Source organism: Homo sapiens, chromosome 15 (genome assembly GCF_000001405.40).
Source record: "Homo sapiens chromosome 15, GRCh38.p14 Primary Assembly".
In the NCBI taxonomy this organism is placed as follows: Eukaryota; Metazoa; Chordata; class Mammalia; order Primates; family Hominidae; genus Homo; species Homo sapiens.
The window spans coordinates 63,388,165-63,413,502 of record NC_000015.10 but is presented as its reverse complement, the minus strand read 5'-3'; the positions used below and the strand labels follow the sequence as shown (position 1 = coordinate 63,413,502).

General features: G+C 43.8%; 1 long non-coding RNA gene across 1 annotated transcript in view; it reads right to left on the bottom strand.

The window, feature by feature from the left end:
• Positions 1-23,273, bottom strand: part of LINC02568 (long intergenic non-protein coding RNA 2568) — a 47,307-nt gene extending 24,034 nt beyond the window's left edge. Inside the window, exons 1-4 of the long non-coding RNA NR_120375.1 lie at positions 23,242-23,273; positions 18,592-18,652; positions 17,822-17,902; positions 15,036-15,116 (exon numbers count right to left, since the gene is read on the bottom strand). This is a non-coding gene — a long non-coding RNA (long intergenic non-protein coding RNA 2568). The remainder of the gene's footprint in view (positions 1-15,035; positions 15,117-17,821; positions 17,903-18,591; positions 18,653-23,241) is intronic.
• Between the last annotated feature and the right edge of the window lie 2,065 nt (positions 23,274-25,338).

Here is a 25,338-nt window from a genome sequence, read left to right as displayed (position 1 = left end):
TTCCTAGTTGCTTTGAGATTTTCCAACTGAAAGCTGCCTTGTTAATACAAAGTAAGAACTAGGGCATTTCAGCCTTAGGGAAAAAACTATCAAACAAAACACAGCTCAGACACGGTTTTAGCATCAGAAGAATTTTTAGCGGGAGGGGACATTCAGTCCCTCTGAATTCGACATTGGAGTTTCTCACTGGGTCCAGAGATGTCGCTAGGCCTAAGGTGGCCAAACCCTCTGCCCTTGTCTTTCAGCAGAGGTGGCCTGCCATTGGCAGGCAGTGCTAAGTACAAAGGCAGCATCAACCCCAGATCAGGGCAGCTGAGGTCCTTGTTCGGCACCCTCTGCATTTCTCTGGCTTTGCCCCTCGCTGTGGAGTGAGAACAAGCAGCCAAGGGAAGCCAAGGACAAGGAACACTCCCCAGATCCCTGGGGGTCTCTGAGGGTCCTGGCATTCTCTGCTGAAGTGACCCCAAGCCCTCTTCAAGGGACTTGTTGAACTGTTTCCCAAATCCATCCTCCCAAAGGTGGGAAGTGCATCTGATGTACACACCTAGGGGCCCAAGAGGTGGTCAAGGGACAGCTGTTTGCTGGTGAAAGCACATGGTTGGAGCTTGGACAGAGTTGTTTGCATACATGCATGCAAAGCCCTCGGTGGTAAGAAACGGAACCGGGGTAAGTAGAGAAGTGGCATGAGCCGTGGGCCAGGGAGCCCCCATTTACATTCTCATCCCAGCCCCTGCAAATGTTAGGTGTGAGCCTGCCAAAGGAAGAACAGATGGAAAATCTCCAGAAAAAATAACAAGAATCATGAAACCAACACATTTACCAGAGCTCCTGTTTTGGTGGTGAGAGACGCGTCCCCAAAGCCACTGCACTGATAAATCTGGACACGAAGCTTAGTTTATTTTTCATTTAAAAATCAGATAAAATATTAGTTATTTCAATAATGGGTGCATTTATTTTTAAAAGGGTGATAATAGCTCCCTATGTGATTGTGAGGCTAAAATGAGAATGTGTGCCGTGGAGGGGAGCTATTATTACATGTTAATAAGATTCTTCTTTTTCTATTTTCCTCCAGCTGGTCCCTAAGATAATGTTCAAAGCTTTTTCTTTCATTTGTCTTGCTCTGTCTGGTGGGATATTGTTAATAAAAACCAGATACTAAGACATTTTTAAATGTCAAGTGAAGACAAGTTAATAATTGCTCTCCCACAATATGAGAGCAAACGGTGGTCCAGGATCAAAAGCCATGTTTTTCTCCTTTTTGGAGCTGCCAAAATTCCCTTAGGAGTGTGCACCAGGTAAGTGTAAGAACAAGTTCAGAATCTGAATGACATTGTCACAGCCCATGCCAGACCCTAGCTGAGGCCTCTCTCCACTTTGATGTGATTAAATCCCAGTCTTGTCTGCAAAGAAAGCACAGGCTGAAAAACCACGCAGATGAGCCAGGCAATCTGCCCAAATATCAAAACACAAGACCTGCGGATAGTCCTTCAGTGCCCGCGGAGTTGTAAGGGATGTGGCTTGTGCTGGGAAACACAGTTATCATCCCTTACACTTTGTGGAGCTCTTTGTTATTTGCAAAAGGCATAGACATGATTTCATGCCATCCTCCCACAGAGAGCAGAGCTTGTCCACATGGAGCACCTGGAGACGAAATCCTTGGCATTTCCAAAACTCCCGTTTTAGGGGGTTTGGACAGAATGACATTGGCTTTGTGGGTTGGGCAGGGCACCATGTTCTCAGTAAGTAGTGCATAAGTGGCTGCTGGGACTCAGTTGTGCCATCCTCTGCAAGACTCCTAACAAGTGTACAAGCCACAGATGCCTTCAGGGAAACAAAGTCTGGCTAACCCCACCCCCACCCCTGGGCCCCCAGCTGTGGCCCTTCCCATCAAGACCCTGCTCATGGGGAGGCTGCTGAGCTTCTACTTCATGGATAGGACTTTTTTATTTTTAATTTTTTATTTTTAGAGACTCCCTATGTTGCCCAGGCTGGTCTTGAACTCCTAGGCTCAAGCAATCCTCTCACCTCAGCCTCCCAAAGTGCTGGGATTGCAGGTGTGAGCCACTGCACCTGGCCTGGATAGTGGGTTGTGTCTCTGCTCTGCCTGCCCTGCAGGAATGGCTGCTCCTCACCGGGGTGGGCATCAGGAGACTTGGGGTTTGAGCCCCAAATGTCTGAAAGGGATCTCTGGTCTGCAGATCTGGCTGGACAAAGCAGCCTTGGGCATGTGAGAGCCTGGAGCTGGGCATGCAGTATCCTTATCATGGGAAGGGAAATGGGCTACTTTGTCAGCTTTTTCCTCTTTCAGCAGCACATGTTGCTCTGGCTGGGGAAATGGTAGAACTAAGATGATTCTCCAGAAGGCCTGTCAGTGCCGTGGGGCAGGAACAGCCAACCCCTTGCAGTTAGCAGTTCCCAGGAACCAAGTCTAGGTGTTTTCTCAAAGAGCAACAACCCCTCTTCTCTATGGTTCTGTGAGGCCGCCCCTCTTTCTCCAGATAGAGGAGGAAAGACTGGATGCCTCCTTCTGAGTCCTCATGGCTTTTAACCCTCTTGGAAGACAGAGGGAACACATCCCTGAGGGGGCCAGGGTGAGCCCAGGACGGGTGCAGAACCTGGGGTCCAATGCCCGGAACTGATGTTGGGCCCTAGGCTGGATCAGGTGGACAGAGCTTAAATCAGAAGTAGACTGGGCCTGCACTGAGAGTGAGTGTCACGAGGAGTTGAGGAGAGGTGGGGCCAGGGGTTCCAGGAGTGTCGAACCGATGATGGAAGCAGGGAGCAGGTGAGCAGGAGCCAGGTGGGGTGGGAGCCCCAGGAATCAGCAGGTTCCAGGTGGAAAAGAAGCAAGAGGATCAGGAATTTGGCTAGAGGTGACAGGGGCATATGGAGAAGGCTGCTCCTGACTGGCAGTCCTATAGATTCATCGGAGTTAAGAGAGAGAGACAGTCCACCCCAATTGTTCACTCCTATGAGGAATATTGTACAAATTAAAGGAAAAAAAAGAGAAAACCCTATAGGATTAAAAACTGGTCAGGCAGCCAGGTGCGGTGGCTCACGCCTGTAATCCCAGCACTTTGGGAGGCCGAGGCGGGTGGATAACGAGGTCAGGAGTTCAAGACCAGCCTGATCAACATGGCGAAACCCTGTCTCTCCTAAGAATACAAAAATTAGCCAGGCGTGGTGGTGCACGCCTGTAGTCCCAGCTACTCGGGAGGCTGAGGCAGAATCACTTGAACCCGGGAGGCAGAGGTTTCAGTGAGCCTAGATTATGCCACTGCACTCCAGCCTGGGTGACAGAAAAAACAAACAAACAAACAAAAAACAGGTAAGGCGCGGTGGCTCACAGATGTAATCCCAGAGCTTTGGGAGGCAGAGGCAGGCGGATCACTTGAGGTCAGTAGTTTGAGACCAGCCTGGCTAACATGGTGAAACATCGTCTCCACTAAAAATACAAAAATTAGCTGGGTGTGTTGGTGTATGCCTATAGTCCCAGCTGCTTAGGAGAATGAGGTGGGAGAATCACTTGAACCCTGGAGGTTGAAGTTGTGGTGAGCCCAGATCACACCACTGCACTCCAGCCTGGGTGACAGAACAAGACTCTGTCTCAAAACAAAATACAATAATAAAAAATAAAAACAAACTCTTTCATACACTGGCATCTACTTTCCTTTCTAGCCTCACCTCCACCAGTTTTTTTTTTTTTTTTTTAGTAACCTACATCCCAGCCCAAAAAGTCTGTGTTTTCCTTAATACCTTGTGCTTTCCTGCCTCTATGCCTGACTAAGCCATTTTTTGTCCCCAAAATGTCAATTCACTGGCTCTCTGCCAGTGGAAATCTTATTCGTTTATCCTGAATAGGCAAAGGATGCCAACTCATTTAAGAGATACGATTAGGAAGAATATGGAAAAATAGTTATCAAAGAAATGTGAATTAAAATAACAACAAGGCATCATGGCATAGTTATAAAATCATAGCAAATTATAAGAAAACCAAAAACAGCCCACCCAGTGCGGACACCGTTTTGCTGAAACAGGTACATCTATTGCTGGAGACATTGTAAATGGGCTGCGATATTTCTTTTATGTATCAACTTGACTGAGCTAAGGGATGCCCACATAGCTGGTAAAACATAATTTCTGGGTGTGCCTGTGAGGGTGTTTCCAGAAGAGACAAGCATTTGGATTGACAGGCTGACGAGGGAGGATCACCCTCACCAATGTGGGCAGGCACCATCCAATCTGTTGAGGGCCCAGATAGAACAAAAAGGCAGAAGAGGTGCGAAGTTGATCTCTCTGCTTGAGCTGGGACATCCATCTTCTCCCGTCCTTGGATATCAGTGTTCTTGGTTCTCTAGCCTTTGGACTGGGACTGGGACATATGCTTTCGGCTTCGTGGTTCTCAGACCATTGGGACTGGACTGGAATTATACTACCAGCTTTCCTGAGCCTCCAGCTTGCAGACAGCAGTTACAGGACTTCTCAGCCTCCATAGTAGGCAATCCCTCAGAATAAACCTTTTTCTATATATCTATATGTATCCTACTGGTTGTGTTTTTCTGGAGAACCCTGCCTAATACATGGGCCCAAACTTCTGGGGGAAACAATGAAGTAATATATTTCAAAAGAGACAGAAATGTTCCTGTACCTTGATGCCCATCAATCCTATTTTGCAGAGTTGAGCTAAACAAAATGACACTAAAGAAAAAAAAAGCTACGTGCATAAAGATACCTCTTGCATCATAGTCATCATAATTTTTAACAGTGAAAAGACTGGAAATAGCCCAACTATCTCACAGCAGGGGACTCTAAAGGAAATTACACTCAGACAGATGGAAATTATGATGATGAAGACTATTTAGCCAAAGGAAATGCTTATAACATAATGCTCACGAGACACAAAGTTTATTGTGACTACACTATAAAAATCACATAAATGTATGGATAAGGATATATAAGGGAACAGAGAGAAAGGAAAATCACTACTTATTAGGGTATTATTTTTATTAGAGTGTTGCTGATGTAATAAAAATCTCCTAGAGGAAATTTCCTTCAAAACCCCTGATTCGTTTTGTTCCCATCTGGTCTGTGGTCCTTATTGCATTGTGCCTTGAGTGTAATAATTTGTGTCCTAGTTTTAGCCCCGTTTGGACCATAAACTCTTCAAGGGCAAGGACTATGTTTTACTTTTCTTTGTCTCACCTGAGCACTTGTATCTCCCTGGAACGTAATAATATTCAACAATTATTTATTAAGCAAATTAACCATTGCTAAGGATTATGTTGTGCTTAAAAATAAAATTCAACAGATCATTCTCTCCATTCTCCTGTCTCCTGGCAAAAGGCACTCAACTAAATAGATATCTATATTATCTTTAGGCTTCCTGGGAAGGAAAATCCACATTCAGAAATCTAGCATTTTATACCTGGAATGAAACATAGATGCAGTAATGCGGGCAACACTTGGGAATCTGGGAAACTGAGGCTCTTGGGACTTATTTACCTTTGCCCCTTAAGGCAACAAGATGTTTAAAAATTGAAGTCATTCTTAGGTTTACCACCTGGGGCCAACTGGATCCTGGCCAGAAGGAAAAAACGATCCACCACTCCTAATGGGAGCCCAGAGCTGCTGTGCCTAAGCCAGGTCTCTCTTTTACGAGCCTGTCAGGGCTAATTAGAAGACAGGAAATGTGATAACATGGCTCAAGCTTAAGCTTCCCAAAGAAAATAACAGGAATCCAATGCTGAACTCTTTTTAGGTACTGATCCCTTATTGCCTGCCAGACGCTTTATGCACATCAACTTACGCTCCCATTTTACAGATAAAATCTTAATGTTCAGAGAGACTATGTGATTCACCCAAGGTCAAATAGCTTTTGTTTCGATGGGGCCTGTCAGGATCCCAAAGCAACCACAGGCTCTTAAGCATCCCTACCCAGCATGCCTTGGAACTCACAATAAATAGGCCCATTTTGTCTCTCTGTCCAGGTTGATGAAGCCTCGGCATCTTCCTTTTCCTTTCCCCTTTATTCTTGCATGTACAGATATTGGCCCTTTTCTGCAGCCTGGCTGCAGAAAAGCCTATTTTCACCTGGCTTAACATTTTTCTTGTTTTCAGACTGGGTCACCAAGCCAATGATTTTATTCCATGCTCTTTGAATCCACTGTGGTCATCAGTCATTTTCTCCTGAAGAAAATCACACACTCCCTTGTATCAGTGACCTTTCCTGAGGTCTGAGCATATATATCATTTCTAGGACATGTTTTCTTTAACTGAATACAGTCTCGCATACTGGGGATAAGGTTTGGGGATTGCTATGATTTAGATGTATCCCTTCCAAACTTCAGGTGTTGCCAACGTGATAGTGATATTAAGAGGTGAAGACTTGGCTGGGCGCGGTGGCTCACGCCTGTAATCCCAGCACTTTGGGAGGCTGAGGCAGGCGGATAAGTTGAGGTCAGGAGTTTGAGACCAACCTGAGCAACATGGTGAAACCCTGTCTCTACTAAAAATACAGAAATTAGCCAGGTGTGGTGGCGGGCGCCTATAATCCCAGCTACTTGGGGAGGCTGAGGCAGGAGAATTGCTTGAACCCAGGAGGCAGAGGTTGCAGTGAGCTGAGAGCATGCAACTGCACTCCAGCCTGGGTGACAGAGCAAGACTCTGTCTCAAAAAAAAAAAAGAAAAAAAGAGGTGAAACCCTTAAGAGGGGATTAGACCATGAGGGCTCCACCCTGAGGACTGAGACTAGGTGCCCTTATAAAAGGGCTTGATGGAGGGAGTAAGTCCCTCTTGCCCTTCTGCCTTCCACCGTGTGGCACCATCTTGGAAACAGAGACCAGACCCTCCCCAGACAACAAACCTGCCAGTGCCTTGGTCATGGACTTCCCAGCCTCCAGAACTGTGAGAAATAATTTCTGTTCTTATAAATTACCCGGTCTATGGTACTTTGTTATGGCAACACAAACAGACTAGGAGAAGGATTAAAACAGCAGTTGTTCCAGAACAGTTTCTTCCAACATTATGCTGATTTTCTTTTTTCTTGGACGCTTTTTTACAAGTTGCACTTTTTAAATGTGATATTCTCCTACTCTTGCTGAGGCCTCTACTCCTCTTTTCTTTCATACATTTTTGTCTGTGGTGCAAAACTGACACTTTTTTGTTTCTCTAATGCGAGCAACAATAACATCTAATTAATATGCAGCTACACTCAGGCCGAGGCAGAAACCCTTCCATCTGCTGTTCTGCGATAGCTGCTTCCCCTTTTGCTCACTTATGTTCTTTTTAGCTTATTCTGTGCCCTTTAAATTGCCTTCCTAAAACATAGAATTCCACATCAACTCAAAATTAGTTTAGAAAATAGATGGTGCTTGGTAAGTTCCAAACTATAAAATCCTGCCCATCCTCGGCAGTCTGGGGCTTACACCATTAAACATTAAGTGGTAGCAGATGCTTCCTGCCTGGGACTCAATTTCTAGGCCTATGTTTCGTTACTCCTTCTAAAAGATAGATTTTTTTTCTCTTTTTTCAGTCATTGAAAAAAAAAAAACAAAACACTAGGTTTTGGCCAGGTGCGGTGGCTCATGCCTGTAATCCCAACCGGGAGGCTGAGGCGGGTAGGTCATAGTCCAGGAGTTAGAGACTAGCCTGGGCAACATGGTGAAACCCTGACTTTACAAAAAAATACAGAAATTAGCTGAGCATGGTGGCATGTGCCTGTAATCCCAGCTACTGGGGAGGCTGAGGTGGGGGAATTGCTTGAGCCCTGGAGGTGAAGGTTGCAGTGAGCTGTGATCACACCACCGCACTCCAGTCTAGGCGACAGAGCCAGACCCTGCGTCAAAAACAGAAAACAACAACAACAACAAAAAACACTAGGTTTAAATAAAATGTAAACTTCTGTACGGCGGCGGGGAGAGGGGGGTAGTTTTGTGACAGATGTCTTGTTTTCAAAAACCTAATTGAGGAATGGGCTGCCATTTGTCTTCCCATCATTAGAAACTCAATCCTGCATGTCCTGGGGAGCCCAGTTGTAAACCTTAGTTTTTTTAGAAGGATGATGATTCCCCGCAAAGCCAGGCTGGCACTGTAGAAATCCACAGTCAGAAAGAACCACAAACCAACTCCCCTGGGTGGCGTGGTCCAGGCATCGCTTTATTTAGATGAATTCACACAGAGGTGCTATAGTGTGGTCTGGGCATATGATTATATGGTTTCGATGTCATGGAAACTTACAGGAAGTCAAGAGTGCTGTGAATCCCAGCTCACACATTTGCTGTGTCTACCTCAGTTTCCCTTTTTCTCAAATTGGCGGTGTAACTAGTTCTTATTTTGTAGGTATTCTAGTCCCCAAATTTCTTTTTAAAGAAACATGAGAATTTACTATAAATGCTACATAAATCCCAAGTTCGAAGTGCCTTTGGGCTAAAACCAGCTTTGAAGTGAGGCAAGAACTCAGGCTCCCTTCTCTTTTCTTCCCCGAAGATCCTAAGAAGAACACACAGCCATGGCTAGACCAGGGGAGCCAAGGAAAAGGAAGAGAAATGGTTACTTTCACTTTGTTCTTTAAGCCCTTGAAAGAGAGGTGACTCAGTGTGCCTCAGGAAGGGAGGATCCATCTAGCTTTCAGCATTTTCCAAGGTCCTTTTTGAGATGGGCACCAAAGTGACAGGCTCAAAGGAAGGCTTTCTTTCTTTTTTTTTTTTTTGAGATGGGGTCTTGCTCTGTCGCCCAGGCTGGAGTACAGTGGCGCGATCTCGGCTCACTGCAACTTCCGCCTCCAGGGCTCAAGCGATTCCCCCACCTCAGCCTCCTGAGTAGCTGGGATTACAGGCATGCGCCACCACGCCCAGCTGATTTTTGTATTTTTAGTAGAGACGGGGTTTCACCATCTTGGCCAGGCTGATCTTGAACTCCTGACCTCGTGATCCACTCACCTCGGCCTCCCAAAGTGCTGGGATTACAGGTGTGAGCCACCACACCTGGCCAGAAGGCTCTCTTTCTAATGTAAACTTTCACTGGCAGTCAGAAGGTGTCACTTACCAGAGTATTCTAATTCTTAGCAAATCGTCATTGCACATAAAGTGAACACAGTACCACATCTCCACGCATTAGACACATCGTCACTGAAACCATGCAGCCTCATTCAGAAATGACCTTGTGTCTGAGAGCTCATCTTCCTGGAATCATTTTAGTTTGATCCTTTCAAGGCTGTGAGATTTATTTTCAAGTATTATTTTTCTTTTCAAAAGTTATTCATAATTCAATTTAATTTTAAAAGCTTCATATACACATATCTACACAGATATGCACACGTACACTCACGCCTGGTACAAATCCAAATACTATACAAGGGTTCTCCACATAAATGTCCATCCCAGCCAAACAGCACTGTGTTACCAGTTTCCCGTGTCTCATTCCAGAGCCGTTCTATGCATAAAATATATATTTTTAGGTATTTTTTAAGAAGATGTACTGTTTAATTTTAAAGCTACTTTAGCATAAGACAAGGTAAAAAAGTAGGAACCTATAGATTAAAAAAGAAAAAAAAGGGCCTGGGGTATAATTGTTTTAAATGACGTGTTGATGTGTTGAGTTTAAAAATATTTTGATGTGTTCCAATGCATGGAAAACAAGATGGTCTGAAATCATTGTCCTGAACAAACTGTCCAATGTGATTACATATTTTGTGTGTGTACCTTGGCAAGGTCACGTTAACAAGTTTACATAATAATATACAGAAAACAGGAAGCCACCCAATAGACTGGAGTGAGCAGGGAGGGACAGGGAGGAGCAGAAAGACCGTCTCAAGAACTGCCACTTAGAGAAGAGGTGCTGAGAAGGAAAAGAGGTGAGCCGAGCGAGGTAAACAAAGCCTCAGGCCCATGCTTTCCAACAGGATTGTCTGCAATGGTGGGAATGATCGCGTCTGCGCTGTCCAATATGGTAGCCGCTAGTGCTGTTGAACACTTGCAATGGAACCAGCGAGACTGAGGGATTGAATTTTTATTTTAATTTTGTTTTACTTAATTTGAATTTAAACAGCCACATGGGGCAGTGGTTACCATACTAGATCGTGTTGCTCTGGGGTTTGTAACATCTTGGGAGGCATCAATGGGCTTAGAGAACTAAGAATGGAAAGGGGGCAGAGGATAAACATGGGGTAAATAAAAGCAGAAGAGGAAAGAAGGAGGGCAAGGAGCAGGAGAAAGAGTGACATTCAAGTGGAAAGGCATAGACTGAGAGGAATAATTGTCTTAAGTGATGAGTGGCCCCTGATCTCACTTGCTGAGACCTTCTGGTGTGATTCTGAGGTCTTCTGCAACCGCACACAGAAACAGTCTCTTCTAGAGCAATACTGTACTTGCTTACCCTGGGAGGCCTGTAGGTCTTCATCTCCTTATCTTATTGTGAAGGGAGCAAGGGTACACAATCCCAGGGACTCCCCTACTCCATTGTGTGAAATAAAATAGTTTACTCCAAGAAAACCCCACAGTTTTGATACTCCACTAGGTGTCACCATTAGCCAAAATGAGCTTTTATTTTTTATCGTTTTTAACCTGCAGAATTTGGTGAGTTTCTTCTCTGGGTCTATTGTTGATCTTTACAATTCATTTAGGTATTTTCCTACTTTGTCACAGACAAAGCAAAGTGGCTTGCGCTCCTGGAGGCTACCCAATAGGGATACTCATTCTAATTTGGTTTATTTTTCGTTGCAGTTAAAACTCAGTTACTAAGGCCGGATGTTGTGGCTCATGCCTGTAATCCCAACACTTTGGAAGTATGAGGCAGGAGGACCGCTTGAGACCAGGAGTTCCAGATTGGCCTGGGCAACATAGTGGGACCCCCATCTCTACAAAAAATTTTTAAAAATTAGCCAGGCATGAGGGCGTGCAACTGTAGTCCCAGCTACTTGGGAGGCTGAGGTGAGAGGAGCATTTGAGCCCTGAGCCCAGGAGATTGAGGCTGTAGTGAGCCATAATTGTGCCACTGCACAGACAGAGCTCTAGACCTTTTCTAAAAAAAAAAACAAAACAAAACAAAACAAAAAAACTTCTGCTAAATACCACAAATGTGTGTGTGTACACACGTGCTCGGCTTCCCAAAGTGCTGGGATTACAGGTGTGAGCCACCATGCCTGGCTAACATTCATTCTTAAATATTTACTGTGTGCTATGCAGGGGCCCCATGTACACTGCACAACTCTGGGGATGGGAGCAGAGGGCACAGTTTGCACAGACCTCAATGTAAATAGTGTTTCCTGAAGTTGTGCAGCCTAGCAGCTCTGCAAGACTCTGGTCTGGGCCATAAGAACTGTATTAGTCCATTTTCATGCTGCTGATAAAGACATACCCAAGACTAGGTAATTTATAAAGAAAAAGAGGTTTAATGGACTCACAGTACCACATGGCTGGGGAGGCCTCACAATCATGGTGGAAGGTGAAATGCATGTCTTACATGGTGGCAGACAAGAGAGAATGGGGGCCAAGAGAAAGGTGAAACCCTTTATAAAATCATCAGATCTCGTAAGACTTATTCCCTACCACACGAACAGTATGGGGGAAACCGCCCCTATGATTCAGTTATCTCCCTCCAGGTCCCTCCCACAACACATGGGATTATGGGAGCTGCAATTCAAGATAAGATTTGGGTGGGGACAGCCAAACCATATCAGGGACAAAATCATGAGGAAGATATGGGCCCTGCTTTTTCCATCCTCTCTGTTCTATTTCTTAGGAGAGTTCCTTAGTCTAAAACCTTCTTTGTAACTAGAAATATCTATGCCCTATATAAATTCTCAGAGTTATACATGTAACAGTTAGCTTTCCCTTCTATCCTTGTAAAAACAACTAAAGTTTAGTTCCTTTTCAGAGAAGTAACACCTCTCCCTGAGCATTATTTTATTAATAAGGCAAAGTATTATTCCAGCTGGATAAATCAAGTCATGGCCTTTGCCCTTGGGAAATTCAATAAGATCCAAAATAAAATCCTTAAGTTTTGCATATCTAAATTTGGCCTTTGAACAGAAGAGGAGTAGTAGCAATTGAACATGAATCTGGGGATCAGGACCCCTAGAATCTAGCCTGACTAGGCTTTCTTGGGGAATGTACCAGTTAGGTTGGGGGTAAAACAAACCACCCCAAAGCTTAGTGGCTTAAAGCAATGAACACTCATCATTTTTCATGATTCTGTGAGTCAGTTGAGCCGTTCTGATCTAGGCTGGTATGCAGATCGGAGGTGTGTAGGTGGCTCAACTGGGGTTGGCTGGCCTCCCTCACATACATGAAATTGACAGGCTGGTTAGTTGAGGAGGACTTAGCTGGGATGGTTTGTCTCTGCTCCATGTGATCTCTCCTCCTCCACTAGGCTAGCCCAGGCTTCACATAATGTTCTCAGCATGGTGGTCTCAGGGTATAAAAGAGCAGCAAGAGAAAGCAAGCTTCAGTGTGCAAGTGCTTGAATATTTCTTCTTGTGTCACATTTGCTCTTGTCCCATTGGCCAAAGAAAGATACATGGCTAAGCCTTGAGTCAGTGCGAAAGGTATTATCCAAGGATGTTGTAGAGAGAGGTATGAACAAATTAAGGACCAGTGTTGTAACAATCTACTGAAAAAATTAATTTAATTTCTCCTTATCTCAGTGTTTACCAAGATGATAATATTAATAACACTTTCTTGACCTACTTGCCAGGAAAGAAAAAAAATAAACACATGGAAGAAACTACTGTATATCATTCAAAGAAAAGGGACAACATAACTATTATTCATCTTACTTCAGTTTACTCATCTACCTTTTTCACGTCTCGTCCACAGCACGGCTAATCTATCTATGGGGCAATTAGGAATCCCACTTAGTGAAAATTCCTATCAAAAATAAAGGTAACAATTTCAAAAGAAAATTTTGTTTGTTTTCATAATTTTCACCAGCAAATTGGTACATTTTATGGGTTGTGTGTAAGGATACCCACTAAGGATGTAACTAGCAGGATTCTTCGAGAATAGAGACCCAGGAATGTCTAACCACAGGATAACTTTCACAATTGCCCTTATATGTTAGACTTGGCAGATACATTTTGGTTTTTTGTTTATTTGTTTGGAGAAGGAGACTTGTTCTGTCACCCAGGCTGGAGTGCAGTGGCACGATCTCCGCTCACTGCAACCTCCATCTCTCGGGTTCAAGTGATTCTCCTGCCTCAGCCTCCCGAGTAGCTGGGATTACAGGCGCCCACCACCATGGCCGGCTAATTTTTGTATTTTTAATAGAGATGGAATTTCACCATGTTGGCCAGGCTGGTCTTGAACCCCTGACCTCAGATGATCCGCCCGCCTCAGCCTCCCAAAGTGTTGGGATTACAGGCATGAGCCACTGCGCCCGGCCTACATTTTGTTTTAAATAATTGCTCAGCATTGTACAAGTTGAACACCTGTTATAGCACTCGGAGGACTTAATCACATAAAGAAAATGACTAGGAGTTTATAGTACATGTTTTCTTTTTTTTTTTTTTTTTTTTTTTTAATGAGATGGCGTCTTGCTGTGTTGCCCAGGCTGGAGTGCAATGGTGCAATCTCGGCTCACTGCAGCCTCCGCCTGCTGGGTTCAAGCAATTCTCCTGCCTCAGCCTCCTGAGTAGCTGATACTACAGGTGCCCGCTACCATGCCCGGCTAGTTTTTATATTTTTAGTAGAGATGGGGTTTCACCATGTTGGCCAGGTTGGTCTCAAACTCCTGACCTCAAGTGATCCACCCATCTTGGCCTCCCAAAGTGCTGGGATTACAGGCATGAGCCACCCCACCCGGCCTACAGTATATGTTTTCATTCCTATTTGCATGGTGCTGAGAATTGCTGAAGATAACACCACTTCTGGAAATTCACACTCAATCTTACTGGAACTGAGATTAGCCAAGAAAAGGATTACTTCATTCTTACTAAAAACTTATCTTTCCTACAAATCGTGGTCTTCATTATTTAACCTGATGAATAAACATTTATTGGGCATCTACTGTGCGTGAAAAACTGAACTAGAGATAGAAATATGGATAAAACACAGTTTTTGCTCTGCTGGCAACAAACTATAAGGCAAATCTGACAGATAAGTGCTCCAGGGAGTATTGAAGAAGGAATGATTTACACCAATGGCATGAACTAGAGAAAACTTCTTGAAGACAACTTTTGTTCCGAGCTTTGAAGAATGAGTAGCATTTCTCAATGTGAGAAAGGGGAGAGAGAATTCCATACAGAGGTAAACGTATGGTAAACAGAGGGTTAAAGTGCACAGCATTTTTTGGGGAAAACATCACCCAGGGTAGTTGGAGTGTAGGGTGTGTTATGGGAAGTAGAAAAGGAAGTGAGGCCAGCTTGTTAAGACCTTTGAATGTGATATTAAAGGGCTTACATGAGGGCTTTAAAGGCCCTTGATTAAAACATTCTCATGATTATAACTATTTTAGAAGTGTCATTCTGGCTTCTGGATACTGACACAATGGGGACCCAACAGGGGCTCCTGGCTATCTCTGTCAACCTAGTTCTGGGAGTGTCTCAGAAATGGTGCAACTGATGGATCTGAGAATCTAATGTGATAATTGTGAGAAGTTTCTAGAGGGACAGCAAATGGTTGGAGCCCAGTGTATGTGTTTGCGACTGCAGACTGCAGGGGAAAAGGGACAGTGCTGTAGGTGGGGAAGATTTTATCTTAGACTATTTTCCTCCCTTGTATTTCCATGGGCAGATTATAGTCTTCCCCAACTCCACTGCAAGACAGAACAGTATCACTAGTCCTGCACCAGCAGGAGATGAAGCTTGTGGGTACATCAGGGGAAAGGAAGGAGATAACAGGTAAAGATACACCCACATTCCTTCTAAGAACTGCCACTCCTCAGCATAGTATTGGAGGTCCTGGCCAATGTGATAAGACAAGAAGTACTAGGTATAGGATTTGAAAGGAAGTAGCAAAACTGTCGTTATGTACAGGTGATCTGATTATCTACATAGAAAACCTCACAGACTTAATAGAAAAACTTTTAGAACTAATACTTACGTTCAGCAAGGATGTCAAGAAGAAGATCTGTTTAGAAAACTCAGTTGCATTCTTCTACAACAGAACATTCAACCAGGAAACCTAATAGAAAATAAGATAATTTTCAGAAGAGCAACACAACTAAAAAATCAACTTAATATTCAAAATAAATTTTTGGAGAAAAATATAAAACTATCAAAGGACATTAGACTTAAGGAAAGAGATATGCCACATTGGTAGACAAGACTACTTAACATGTAAAGATAACAATTCTCCCAAAATTAGTCTAAAAATTCAAGGCACTTTCAGTATAGTCCCAACAGAATTTTTTGAGGGAATAAAAAAAGCATATTCAAAATTTATATAGAAGAAAAAAACAAGGTCCACCATCAGTTGAGCCAATTTCAGAAAAAGAACAAAGAGGAATGACTTGCCCCAGTATACTCCAATGCTATATAATAAAACATTACGGCACTGTGGTGTAGAAGCATGGAAATAGAGTAAGGGTGAGAAAGTGTCAGAAATTCATAGGTATGCTTATGTGTTTTGTTGTATGTGCACCTGATGTATGAAAAACAAGTAAATGGGGAAAGGATGGGTTGCTTAGTAGACAGTGTAGGGAAGATTGGCTCACTACATGGAAAAAAATTAAGCTGCATTCCTAACACCATAAGCAAAGGTGAACTTCAGAAGAATTAAAGATATAAATGTGAAACACCACCCTACAAAACATAGATATGCATGTGTATGCATATATATACGTCAGAATATATTTATGACCTTAGAAGTGGGGAAGAATTTTTTTAAAAAACATTCAAAAAGTGTAACTGTATTCCCTGCCCCTCAAATTGATGACTATATCAAAATTAACAATAATGACGATGGCAGATATAGTTATCTAAATGAACAGACAGGTGATAGACTGAGAAAAAAATATTTGAGACTCCCAAGACCAGCAAGAGATTATTATACAGAATATATAAGAAAGTCCTACAAATCAATCAGAAAAAGAGAATACAACAGGAAAATGGGCAAGGATATGAATATGTGACTCACCCCAAAAAACCCACTGGTTTTGCTCAACCTCACTAGTTTTTTTGTTTTGTTTTGTTTTGTTTTGAGACAGAGTCTCACTCTGTTGCCCAGGCTGGAGTGCAGTGGCACGATCTCGGCTCACTGCAACCTCCGCCTCCTGGGTTAAAGTGATTCTCCTGCCTCAGCCTCCCGAGTAGCTGGGACTACAGATGCCCGCCACCACGCCCAACTAATTTTTGTATTTTTAGTAGAGACAGGGTTTCACCATGTTGGCCAGGATGGTCTTGATCTCCTGACCTCATGATCCACCCGCCTCAGCCTCCCAAAGTGAACCTCACTAGTTCTTAGATAAATGAAAATTAAAACAATAGCAAGACTAAGTCTTTTTACCCATGAGGTTGGAAAATTAGGAGACTGGATAATACCAAACTCTGGCAGGTTGTAAGGAAACAAAACGGAAAGGAAACAAACACTGTATTCTAGGGCATGTCAAAGATAGAGCCAGGCACCGGTTAAAGCAGCCAGGACAGGTTTTATTCAGGGACTACTGCAATAAGGAAAAAGAGTAGAGTGTGAACAGAGTACCTGATGCAAAGTACTGGAGACTATTTAAAGATTAAGGGAAAGGCACTGTGGGGTGTTAAGGGAGGGTTAGTCTATGTGATTGCGCCACCTGGATTTGTTCACTGGTGCTTATCCGAAGGATAAACACACTTCTCCTAAAGTAAGGCATCCATAGCAGTTAGGCCCTTATCCTCCTGGGAGAAGAGCTATAGCTCCCTGAATATCTGCATTTCAAAGAGAGGGCTCTCAGATCCTTGAGGAGACCGTTTTGGGTGGGAGATTTACATCTCAAAGGGCAAAGGAAAGATTTATAATTGCAAGCTTTCTAAAATAACTGCTCTAAGAGGGAGCTCAGGGGCTTATCTGCCTATCACCAGGTTTTGGCCAGAATAAACAGTAAATTCTCCTGGCAGCATTGAGCTTCCAGGCAAGCATTTTAAGGGAGGCTGGTATCATCCTAGGGACATGGTCTTAAGCTGCTAGAAGCCATGCTAGGGTTTGGTCAAGTCTCTTAGTGCAGGGGTTTGGACAGAGTCATTACGGGCAGAGAGTTCTGCAGTTCGCAGTCACAACCTAGACGTACTTTGTGAAAATAAATATGCATCAGCAATTCCACTCCTAGACATATGCTTCCGAGAAACTCTTACACAGGTCCTAAAGGATCACGGACAAAAACACTCACCTCACTGTAGTACTGGTAGCAGGGAGCTGGGGCATTTGCTAGGGGAATGGATAAGTAAATGCGGTAGGTAGGTTTAAAAACCAAACCACACAAAATAACATATTTTTGTTAAATATAGTGAACTGCAAATTTCTCTTCAAAGAATCAGCACGTCAGTAGTTTCAGCTCTCTTATTCTTTGATTCTCCATTTTAAAGTTTAACTTCCTGGTTCTCTTTGCCCACTTGCTTCTAGTTTAAGTAAACAACTTTCCCCGTAGTCCTAATCAGTAGTTCACATCTGTTCCCCTGGTCACCTGCTCCATCTTGACTCATTGTGGTCATCTTCTTTGACCTGAGTCACCCTTGGTCACCTTCTCTGACCTAAGTCACCTTTGGTTACCTGTTCCTAACTGTCCTTCCTGCCAAACTACTCACTCCGCCACTCTGACTCATACCCCTGCCCCTTTAAAATAGCCAATCAAAATTAGCTTAGACTGTGCGGTCCAACCCTAGCCAACAGGGGAACAACACAGCAGCAGGGCCTACCTGTGTCAGGAATCAGAACTCCTGCCCCTCCCCTGTCCAGGTGTGCTCTCGCCATTGTTCCATCTGTGATGAGCACCCTTTCTGCAGAAAGTAAAAATTGCTTTGCTGAGAGAATTAAATGTATGTTCGAGTGCTATTTCTTTGTGGCACCAGGGAACAAACATTTCTAACATTTTGTAAGTTCACATACATACCCAAGAATACATTATCACAATATCAGAGTGACAGCGTGTGGGAAGAAGGAGAATGGGTATCAGAAATGAAGGTGGGGGGGAAATCAAATAAATAAAACAAGAGCAACTCCTTACACGATGGATAATGAGTGAGCCCCATACTCCACTCACTACAGTTGCAGTCAGAAACAGAGAGAGGGAGAGAAGAGAGGGGAGAGGATGAGAAGGTGGGAAAAACAGAAAGTGTGTCACTCTGGCAGGATGGACAATGACTGAGAGGCTAGGGTGGGAGAGACCAGGGAAGAGGGGATGGGGCAGTGGAGGTGGGAGATGACAGTGGTTGGAAGTAGAGCAGAGGCAGCGGAAATACAAATAATCAATGCTGACTAAGGACCTATCATGTGCTAGGCACCATTAGGTTCTTGCATTCCGTTTGGGGATGGATCCCAGAAGCCCCCTTAAGATGGAAACGCTGATATGGTGAATGTAGGGTGGAGTTCAGGTTGATCCCAAAGGTCCTAATCTGGGCAACTAGGAGGATGATGGTGGCTTTAACTGAACTGAGAAATAAATAAGAAGGGAAATACACAAACTCACATTCATGGCTTGGGATCTCCCAATCCATCACTTTGAAAATCAAGATTCTGAGAAGGCATTCCTATTTAGGAGGAAGAGGAGTGACATTCATTGTGTGGCTAGAATAATTGTTATTTTCATAACAATACCAAGTCTGAGTGCTTATTACAGGTTAGGTAGTGTGCTTAAGATGTTGACACTCATTAGCTCATTCACAACCCTATAAAATAGGTATTGCTATAATCTCTCTTTTTATTGATTAGAAAACTGATCTTAGTGAAGTTAAGTACTTGCCCCAGGTCACAGAGCTTCTGATTCCTTAGCCGTAATATGTATGGATTCCACTCTACAGGCGTAATTTTTATATAATTGTCAAAGTAGTCCATGAATAGACTTATTATCTTCATTGTCTTCATGTATCTCTAGTAAGTGGTAGAGGTGGGATCAAAACCAAAGTTTGTGCTTTTTTTTTTTTTTTTTTGAGATGGAGTCTTGCTGTGTTGCCCAGGCTGGAGTGCAGTGGCACAATCTCAGCTCACTGCAACCTCCGCCTCCTGGGTTCAAGCCTCTGAGTATTCTCCTGTCTCAGCCTCCTGAGTAGCTGGGATTACAGGCACCCACCACCATGCCTGGCTATTTTTTGTATTTTTTAGTAGAGATGGGGTTTCCCCACGTTGGCCAGGCTGGTCTCAAACTCCTGACCTCAGGTGATCTGCTCGCCTCGGTCTTCCAAAGTGCTGGAATTACAGGTGAGAACCACCGTGCCCGGCCTATAGTCTTTTCACAACACACATCTGCATATCTCTCTCAACTATTGCTCAAACTGTCTCTCATGCTGCCCATTCAAACTCTACCTATAGAGGAAAAGAGTCTAAAGAAACATATTAACCAATTGCAATCCATAGACCTTGTTTGGATCCCAGTTCAAACAAATGGTTAACAAAAACACTTAGAGGATAATTGGGAAACATGATATTAAGGAATTATTATTGATTTTTATGTGTGCTGATAACATCATGATTATGTCTAAATAAGGCAGTCCTTTTTAAAGAGAAATATCTATAGGTGAAATACTAACTACAAGGGTTCTCAGAGCAAGGCCCTCAGATCAGCAGCATCAGTATTACCCAGGAACTTGTTAGAATGCAGATTCTCAGGCCAGACCTGCTGAATCAGAAACTCAGTGGGTGGAGCCCAGCAATCCATGTTTTGACAAGCCCTTCAGGGGATTCAAATGCATGCTGAAGTTTGAGAGCCACCACAATAATGTGATGTCTTGAATTTGTTTCAAAATAATCTGGGGAAGGGATGATGGGTATATAGGGATTCATTATGACCATACTGTCTCCTTTTTTTTTTTTTTTTAAAGAGATGGGGTCCCCCTCTGCTGCCCAGGCTGGATTCAAACTCCTGGGCTCAAGCAATCCTCCTGCTCCACCTCCTGAGTATGTATTCTCCACTTTTATATGGGTTGGGAAGTTTTCCACAATAAAAAATTTTCAAAACTCCAAACAGTTTTCTCTGCAGTGCCGCCTAATGGCTCTCTCCTCACTGCTCTTGTCTCTCTTTTTTGCCCGCTCCCCTCCATCTGGAACATTTCCTCCTGGCTTCAGAAATGGCTGCTGTCCTTATTTTGTTTATGTTTATTATTATATTTTGAGATGGAGTCTCGCTCTGTCACCCAGGCTGGAGTGCAGTGGCGCGATCTCGGCTCACTGCAACCTCTTCCTTCCAGATTCAAGTGATTCTCCTGCCTCAGCCTCCCAAGTAGCTGGGACTACAGGTGTATACCACCACACCTGGCTGATTTTTGTATTTTTAGTAGAGACGGGGTTTCACCACGTTGGCCAGGCTGGTCTCAAACTCCTGACCTCAAGTGATTTGCCCACCTCGGCCTCCCAAAGTGCTGGTATAAGCCACCGCACCTAGCCCTTATTCTGTTTATTTGCCTCAAGTTTCTCAAATCTTAGGAGCTCCTTCTCTTCTTGCTCTCTCTCCTTGTCCTCTCTGTAAAAGTCTTTAAATGGCCCTTCTCATATCATTCAGTCACAGTTTCTCGCGTCTCAGCGTTCTTCTTCCTGGCTTCTAGATTCTGTGCACTCTGTGGTTTGCAGAACTTGTTATCCAAGACCTTGTCTTTGCACATGCGCTGAGTGATCTCTCTGCTGCTTTTATTGGCACTATCGACAGTTTCTTTTCTTTCTCTTAGAAAACAAAACATTTACCTCCTTCAATTAAAAAAAAATTTTATGTGATTGTTTTAGTTTGCAACATATCTGCCATTTAAAAAACTCCAAACAATAAAGAAGTGGAACAAGTAAAAATGTCACCTTGTTCCCCAGAACACTCTCTTCATTGCTAACTTCCTAATGCTCTCGCCTATCCCTCCGTGATATCTGAGTTCATTCCTCCTCTGACCTCTGCCTTAGATCCCCCAGGACAGCATGTAGAGTTTGGAACTAAAGATCACAGCCCATTGACTCTTCAGTCTGAGGGATGGAGTAAGTTAAAGGGACAGAAGTAAATAAAATTGAGAAGGCTGGGCACAGTGGCTTATACCTGTAATCCCAGCACTTTCAGAGGCTGAGGTAGGAGATCTCTTGAGCTCAGGAGATCAAGGCTGCGGTGAGGTATGATCATGCCACTGCACTCTACCCTGGGTAACAGAGTGAGATCCTGTCTTAAAAAAAAAAAAAAGAGAAGAGAGCAAAAGAGAGCCAGGAGTGAGTGGGAGGAGGATGGTTGGCAGCTGCTGGAAGTGGGACAAGGAGTTAAATGTCCTTTGTGTCCAGCTCCCACAACTCCCCCACCTTTCCCTTGGTCTTGATCATGGCTTTTGATCTCTTTTGGGAGCTCCAAGGTGCAGAAGCTTCTTCAGAGAGTCTGCTGATGAAGCACTGTTCAGCATGTGGATCTAGAATGAAGCCTCCTTGACCGCCGCTATGGCAGCTTCTGCTCTTGGCTATGGGCTTGGACCCATTCTAGTGGGCTCCCTTCCCCAGCATGTCTGGCCCTGTGGGTATACTCGCCTCCTGTTATTGTCCCCGTTAAGCCATCAAGCCACTGACTTACCAACAGTCTACCTATTGTCATATGTATCTGGATCCTTCAAGTTGGAGCTTTGCTGCTCTTCTAGGAGTTCCCTGAACTTCTAGAGGAAGTCACTTAAGAAATTTGACTCCCTGTTTTAGATCACTAATCTTTCCGGGCTTCATGACTTCTTGGAACTTGTCTTAAGATTTTATCAATGTTAAAATAATTAAGACTATGTAGAAATGTTGGAAAGTGTTTATAATCCAATGTTAGTTTTTAAAAAAGTAGTATATACAATAGGGTATCTTTTCTCCATAGTAACCAGGTATATTTCTTTGCTGACATGGACAAGAAGAAGGGAACATGTAAGAATGAAGAGTCATTATCTGGTAGGTTGGATTATCACTTTTTTTTTTCTTTTAAAAGTTCCCTGTTAATAACTCTTTATAAAAATCACTTGGCTGAGATGTTTCCCTGTTTCAGTTCAATGTTTAAAGTTATGTTTCCAGGCTGAGTGCAGTGGCTCATGCCTGTAATCCCAACACTTTGGGAGGCCGAGGCAGGTGGATCGCTGGGGGCCAGGAGTTCGAGGCTAGAATTTGAGGCCAGCCAGGCCAACATGGCAAAATCCCCATCTCTACTAAAAATACAAAAATTAGCTGGGCGTGATGGCAAGCACCTGTAATCCTAGCTACTTGGGAGGCTGAGGCATGAGAATCAGTTGAACCTGGGAGGCAGAGGTTGCAGTGAGCTGAGATCGTGCCACTACACTCCAGCCTGGGTGACAGAGCCAGACTCAGACTCAAAAAAAAAAAAAAAAAAGTTCTGTTTCCAGTCTTGGCCAGACATGCTTTGCCCAGCATCAGACTCTGGGTGGAATCTTCACAAAAGCACTATGCTGCTCATCGCCCTGGAAGAGGCCACAGAGTTATCTTTCATTTCCCTGCACCTTCCTTCTTGTTGGGACAATTGCAGCAAGTTAGCACTGCTCCTTCCATAACTTTTCTGTGCCCTTTCCCCCAGTTTTTAGCAGTTCCCTTCTGCTGACGGCTAGTTATATAAGACCTATTATGATGGGACTTCTCTCATTCACTGCCTCTGAATTGACTTCTTTCCTACGAACTGGAATATCTCAGGGGTGATATGAACCCAGGGAGCCTTCTTATCACAGACAGGTCTGATTCCCCCACTAAAAACAAACATCTCTACAGTTACAAGCACCAATACACTTTGTAATTATGGACTATGATGTCGTTCCTAAACGTCTCAAAATAATTTTACAAATATTCACTGGGATTAAGTGGCATAATCCCTATCATAAAAATGGAGTTATGGAGGTATTTTTCCTTCTCCACTGTCCTCAGGGGAAACAGAATTTCTAAAGAGAAGCCAAGTTTCTGGGGTTTGAACTTTCTGATTCTTTGAACATTCTTTAAGAACTCCAACTATATCTTGCTATCATTTCTACTTTCCACAAAATCCTGGACAGTAAAGAAAACAGAGACATGTAAGATCAAAAAGTTTTGCATAGCTGTGTCAAAAAACAGAGATGCTAGCATAAATAATCCAGTTTTAATCACAGTAAAAGGAGCCCCAAACTCTTATTTCAAGTGGGGCAGGCATAAAGAAGTAACTCACCAGCTAAGATTTCTTTATGCGTCTCAGCAGTCTTGCCACGCTGTGTCTTCTTGGGGAAGTGTCTCTAGTTTGCTAGCTGAATTGCCGTGGGTGAGAACTATGAAGCCTTGGCTGACTACCTGCTCTGCCGGCCACCAGATACACCTGAGCCCTTTCTCAGTGCTTGAGAGGAAGTTGGATCCCTGCCAGGGCTGGCTTCTGGCCAGAGAGGCAACTCAGATCAATTGGTCTACTGGGAAGCTTGCTGACTTTCACCTGTCCAAGCTACAAAGCCATCAGTGTTAACTGCACTAGGCTTCCAGCCCACTGAGCTCTTTGTCAGGCACTAGAGCCTAAACAAGGTGGCCTGGCTCAGTCTACAGACTCCAGCTGGAAGAGAAGCACAATTGTGCTGCATGCTCCTAGTACCCTACACCCAGTGGAGATGAATGCAAACTAAAATGTAGGCAACTGGGTGTTGCTTGTCAGTTTTGTTTGGAAGCACCTGAAATAAAGGAGTCAGCTCATGAATTCCTGCAATGGTAGAGAGCTTGAGTGCCCAAGCAAGAGGAAATTACCAATAATTTTAATAGTATGTGGCATCTCTGAGCTCAGGAATACCTTCTAGCTACAAAATTCCAGTGATCAGGCATTTCCTGTGGAAAAGAGGTTCTAAGCCTACTTGTTTAGAAGGCTTCAACTTATTTCAGTAATAAGACTGGGTTTGTTATGACCAAAGTTACATTCTATGAGAGGCCAATGTGTGGGGGAAAGGGATATCTGGAAATCTCTACTCGTTCTTCCCTGAGGGTTCATGGAAGTTGATGGAGTTGCCCAAACCAGGGTTGGAACTTTGGGAGAAGCAGCCCCACTTCATCCAGTAAGGATGTTTCCACAGAGGACAAAGATCATTGACATAGTACTCATTATGTGCCGCCGTGCTAAGTTCTTCATATGCCTAGCTGATTAAATGTATTCCTCCCTTTCTCCCTTTGGGGTATACTTACTCTAGGACCCTCATCTCTATTTTTCTCTTTCTCTTCTTCTTTTTTTTTTTTTGAGATGGAGTTTCACTCTTGTTGCCCAGCTTGGAGTGCAATGGTGTGATCTCAGCTCACTGCAGCCTACACCTCCCGGGTTTAAGCAATTCTCCCATCTCAACTTTCTGAGTAGCTGGGATTACAGGCATGCGCCACCACGCCTGGCTAATTTTTGCATTTTTAGTAGAGATGGGGTTTCACCATGTTGGCCATGCTGGTCTCGAACTCCTGACCTCAGGTGATCCGCCCGCCTCAGCTTCCCAAAGTGCTGGGATTACAGGCATGAGCCACCGTGCCTGGCTGGACTCTCATCCCTTTAACCAGGAAGAAATCAAGATTCAAAGAGGTTGAATGACTGGCCCAGAGTCACACAGGGTGGTGAATGGTGGAGTTTCAAAACCCAGGTTCGTATGATGCCAAAGCTCTGCCCCCTATACCATTCTGCCTGCCTGACTCCGAACGGAAGTTGTCAGATTTGATATTAGCACTACTCACGTCAGGCTGGCACTTGTGAGCTTGCTGGAATGTGGCCTGTGAATACACTATGGTTTAGAAGACGGGTAGGAGAGGACAGTGCTTCAGACTGAGAACAAGAAGAACAGGAAGGATATGGACCAAATCCCTGAGGCTAGAGGAGAGTGGGTTCCCCAGCAGGTGTGAAAAATGAGAAGGCTGTGAGAAACCTTAAGCTATTACAGTCTAACTATATCTCCTAAATGTCTGAGTGTCAGCTAACCATGACATTGTGAATAATGCACCTGGAAAGAGGTGACACTATTGCACCAAGGTTTACTTCACGTAAAATGCTAAGTTTCCCCATGCATAGAAATTTGAATTATTATGATGTTTAAATTAATCACACAGAGTGCTTTATAAAAGTCTCAGTGAAGAGCTGTTATTCCCCACTCAACAGAAGTAGGAGCTGAAGGACTCAGGGATCAAGTAACCAGACAAGAGTCATCATGGTAACTGGTGTCAGGTATGCAGTGAGAATTTACAATCCCTTGTTGGAATCCAGTTTTTATTTTCTTAGATTAGTAAACCAAAGCTGAGATCAAACACACTTCCTTTCTTGTGA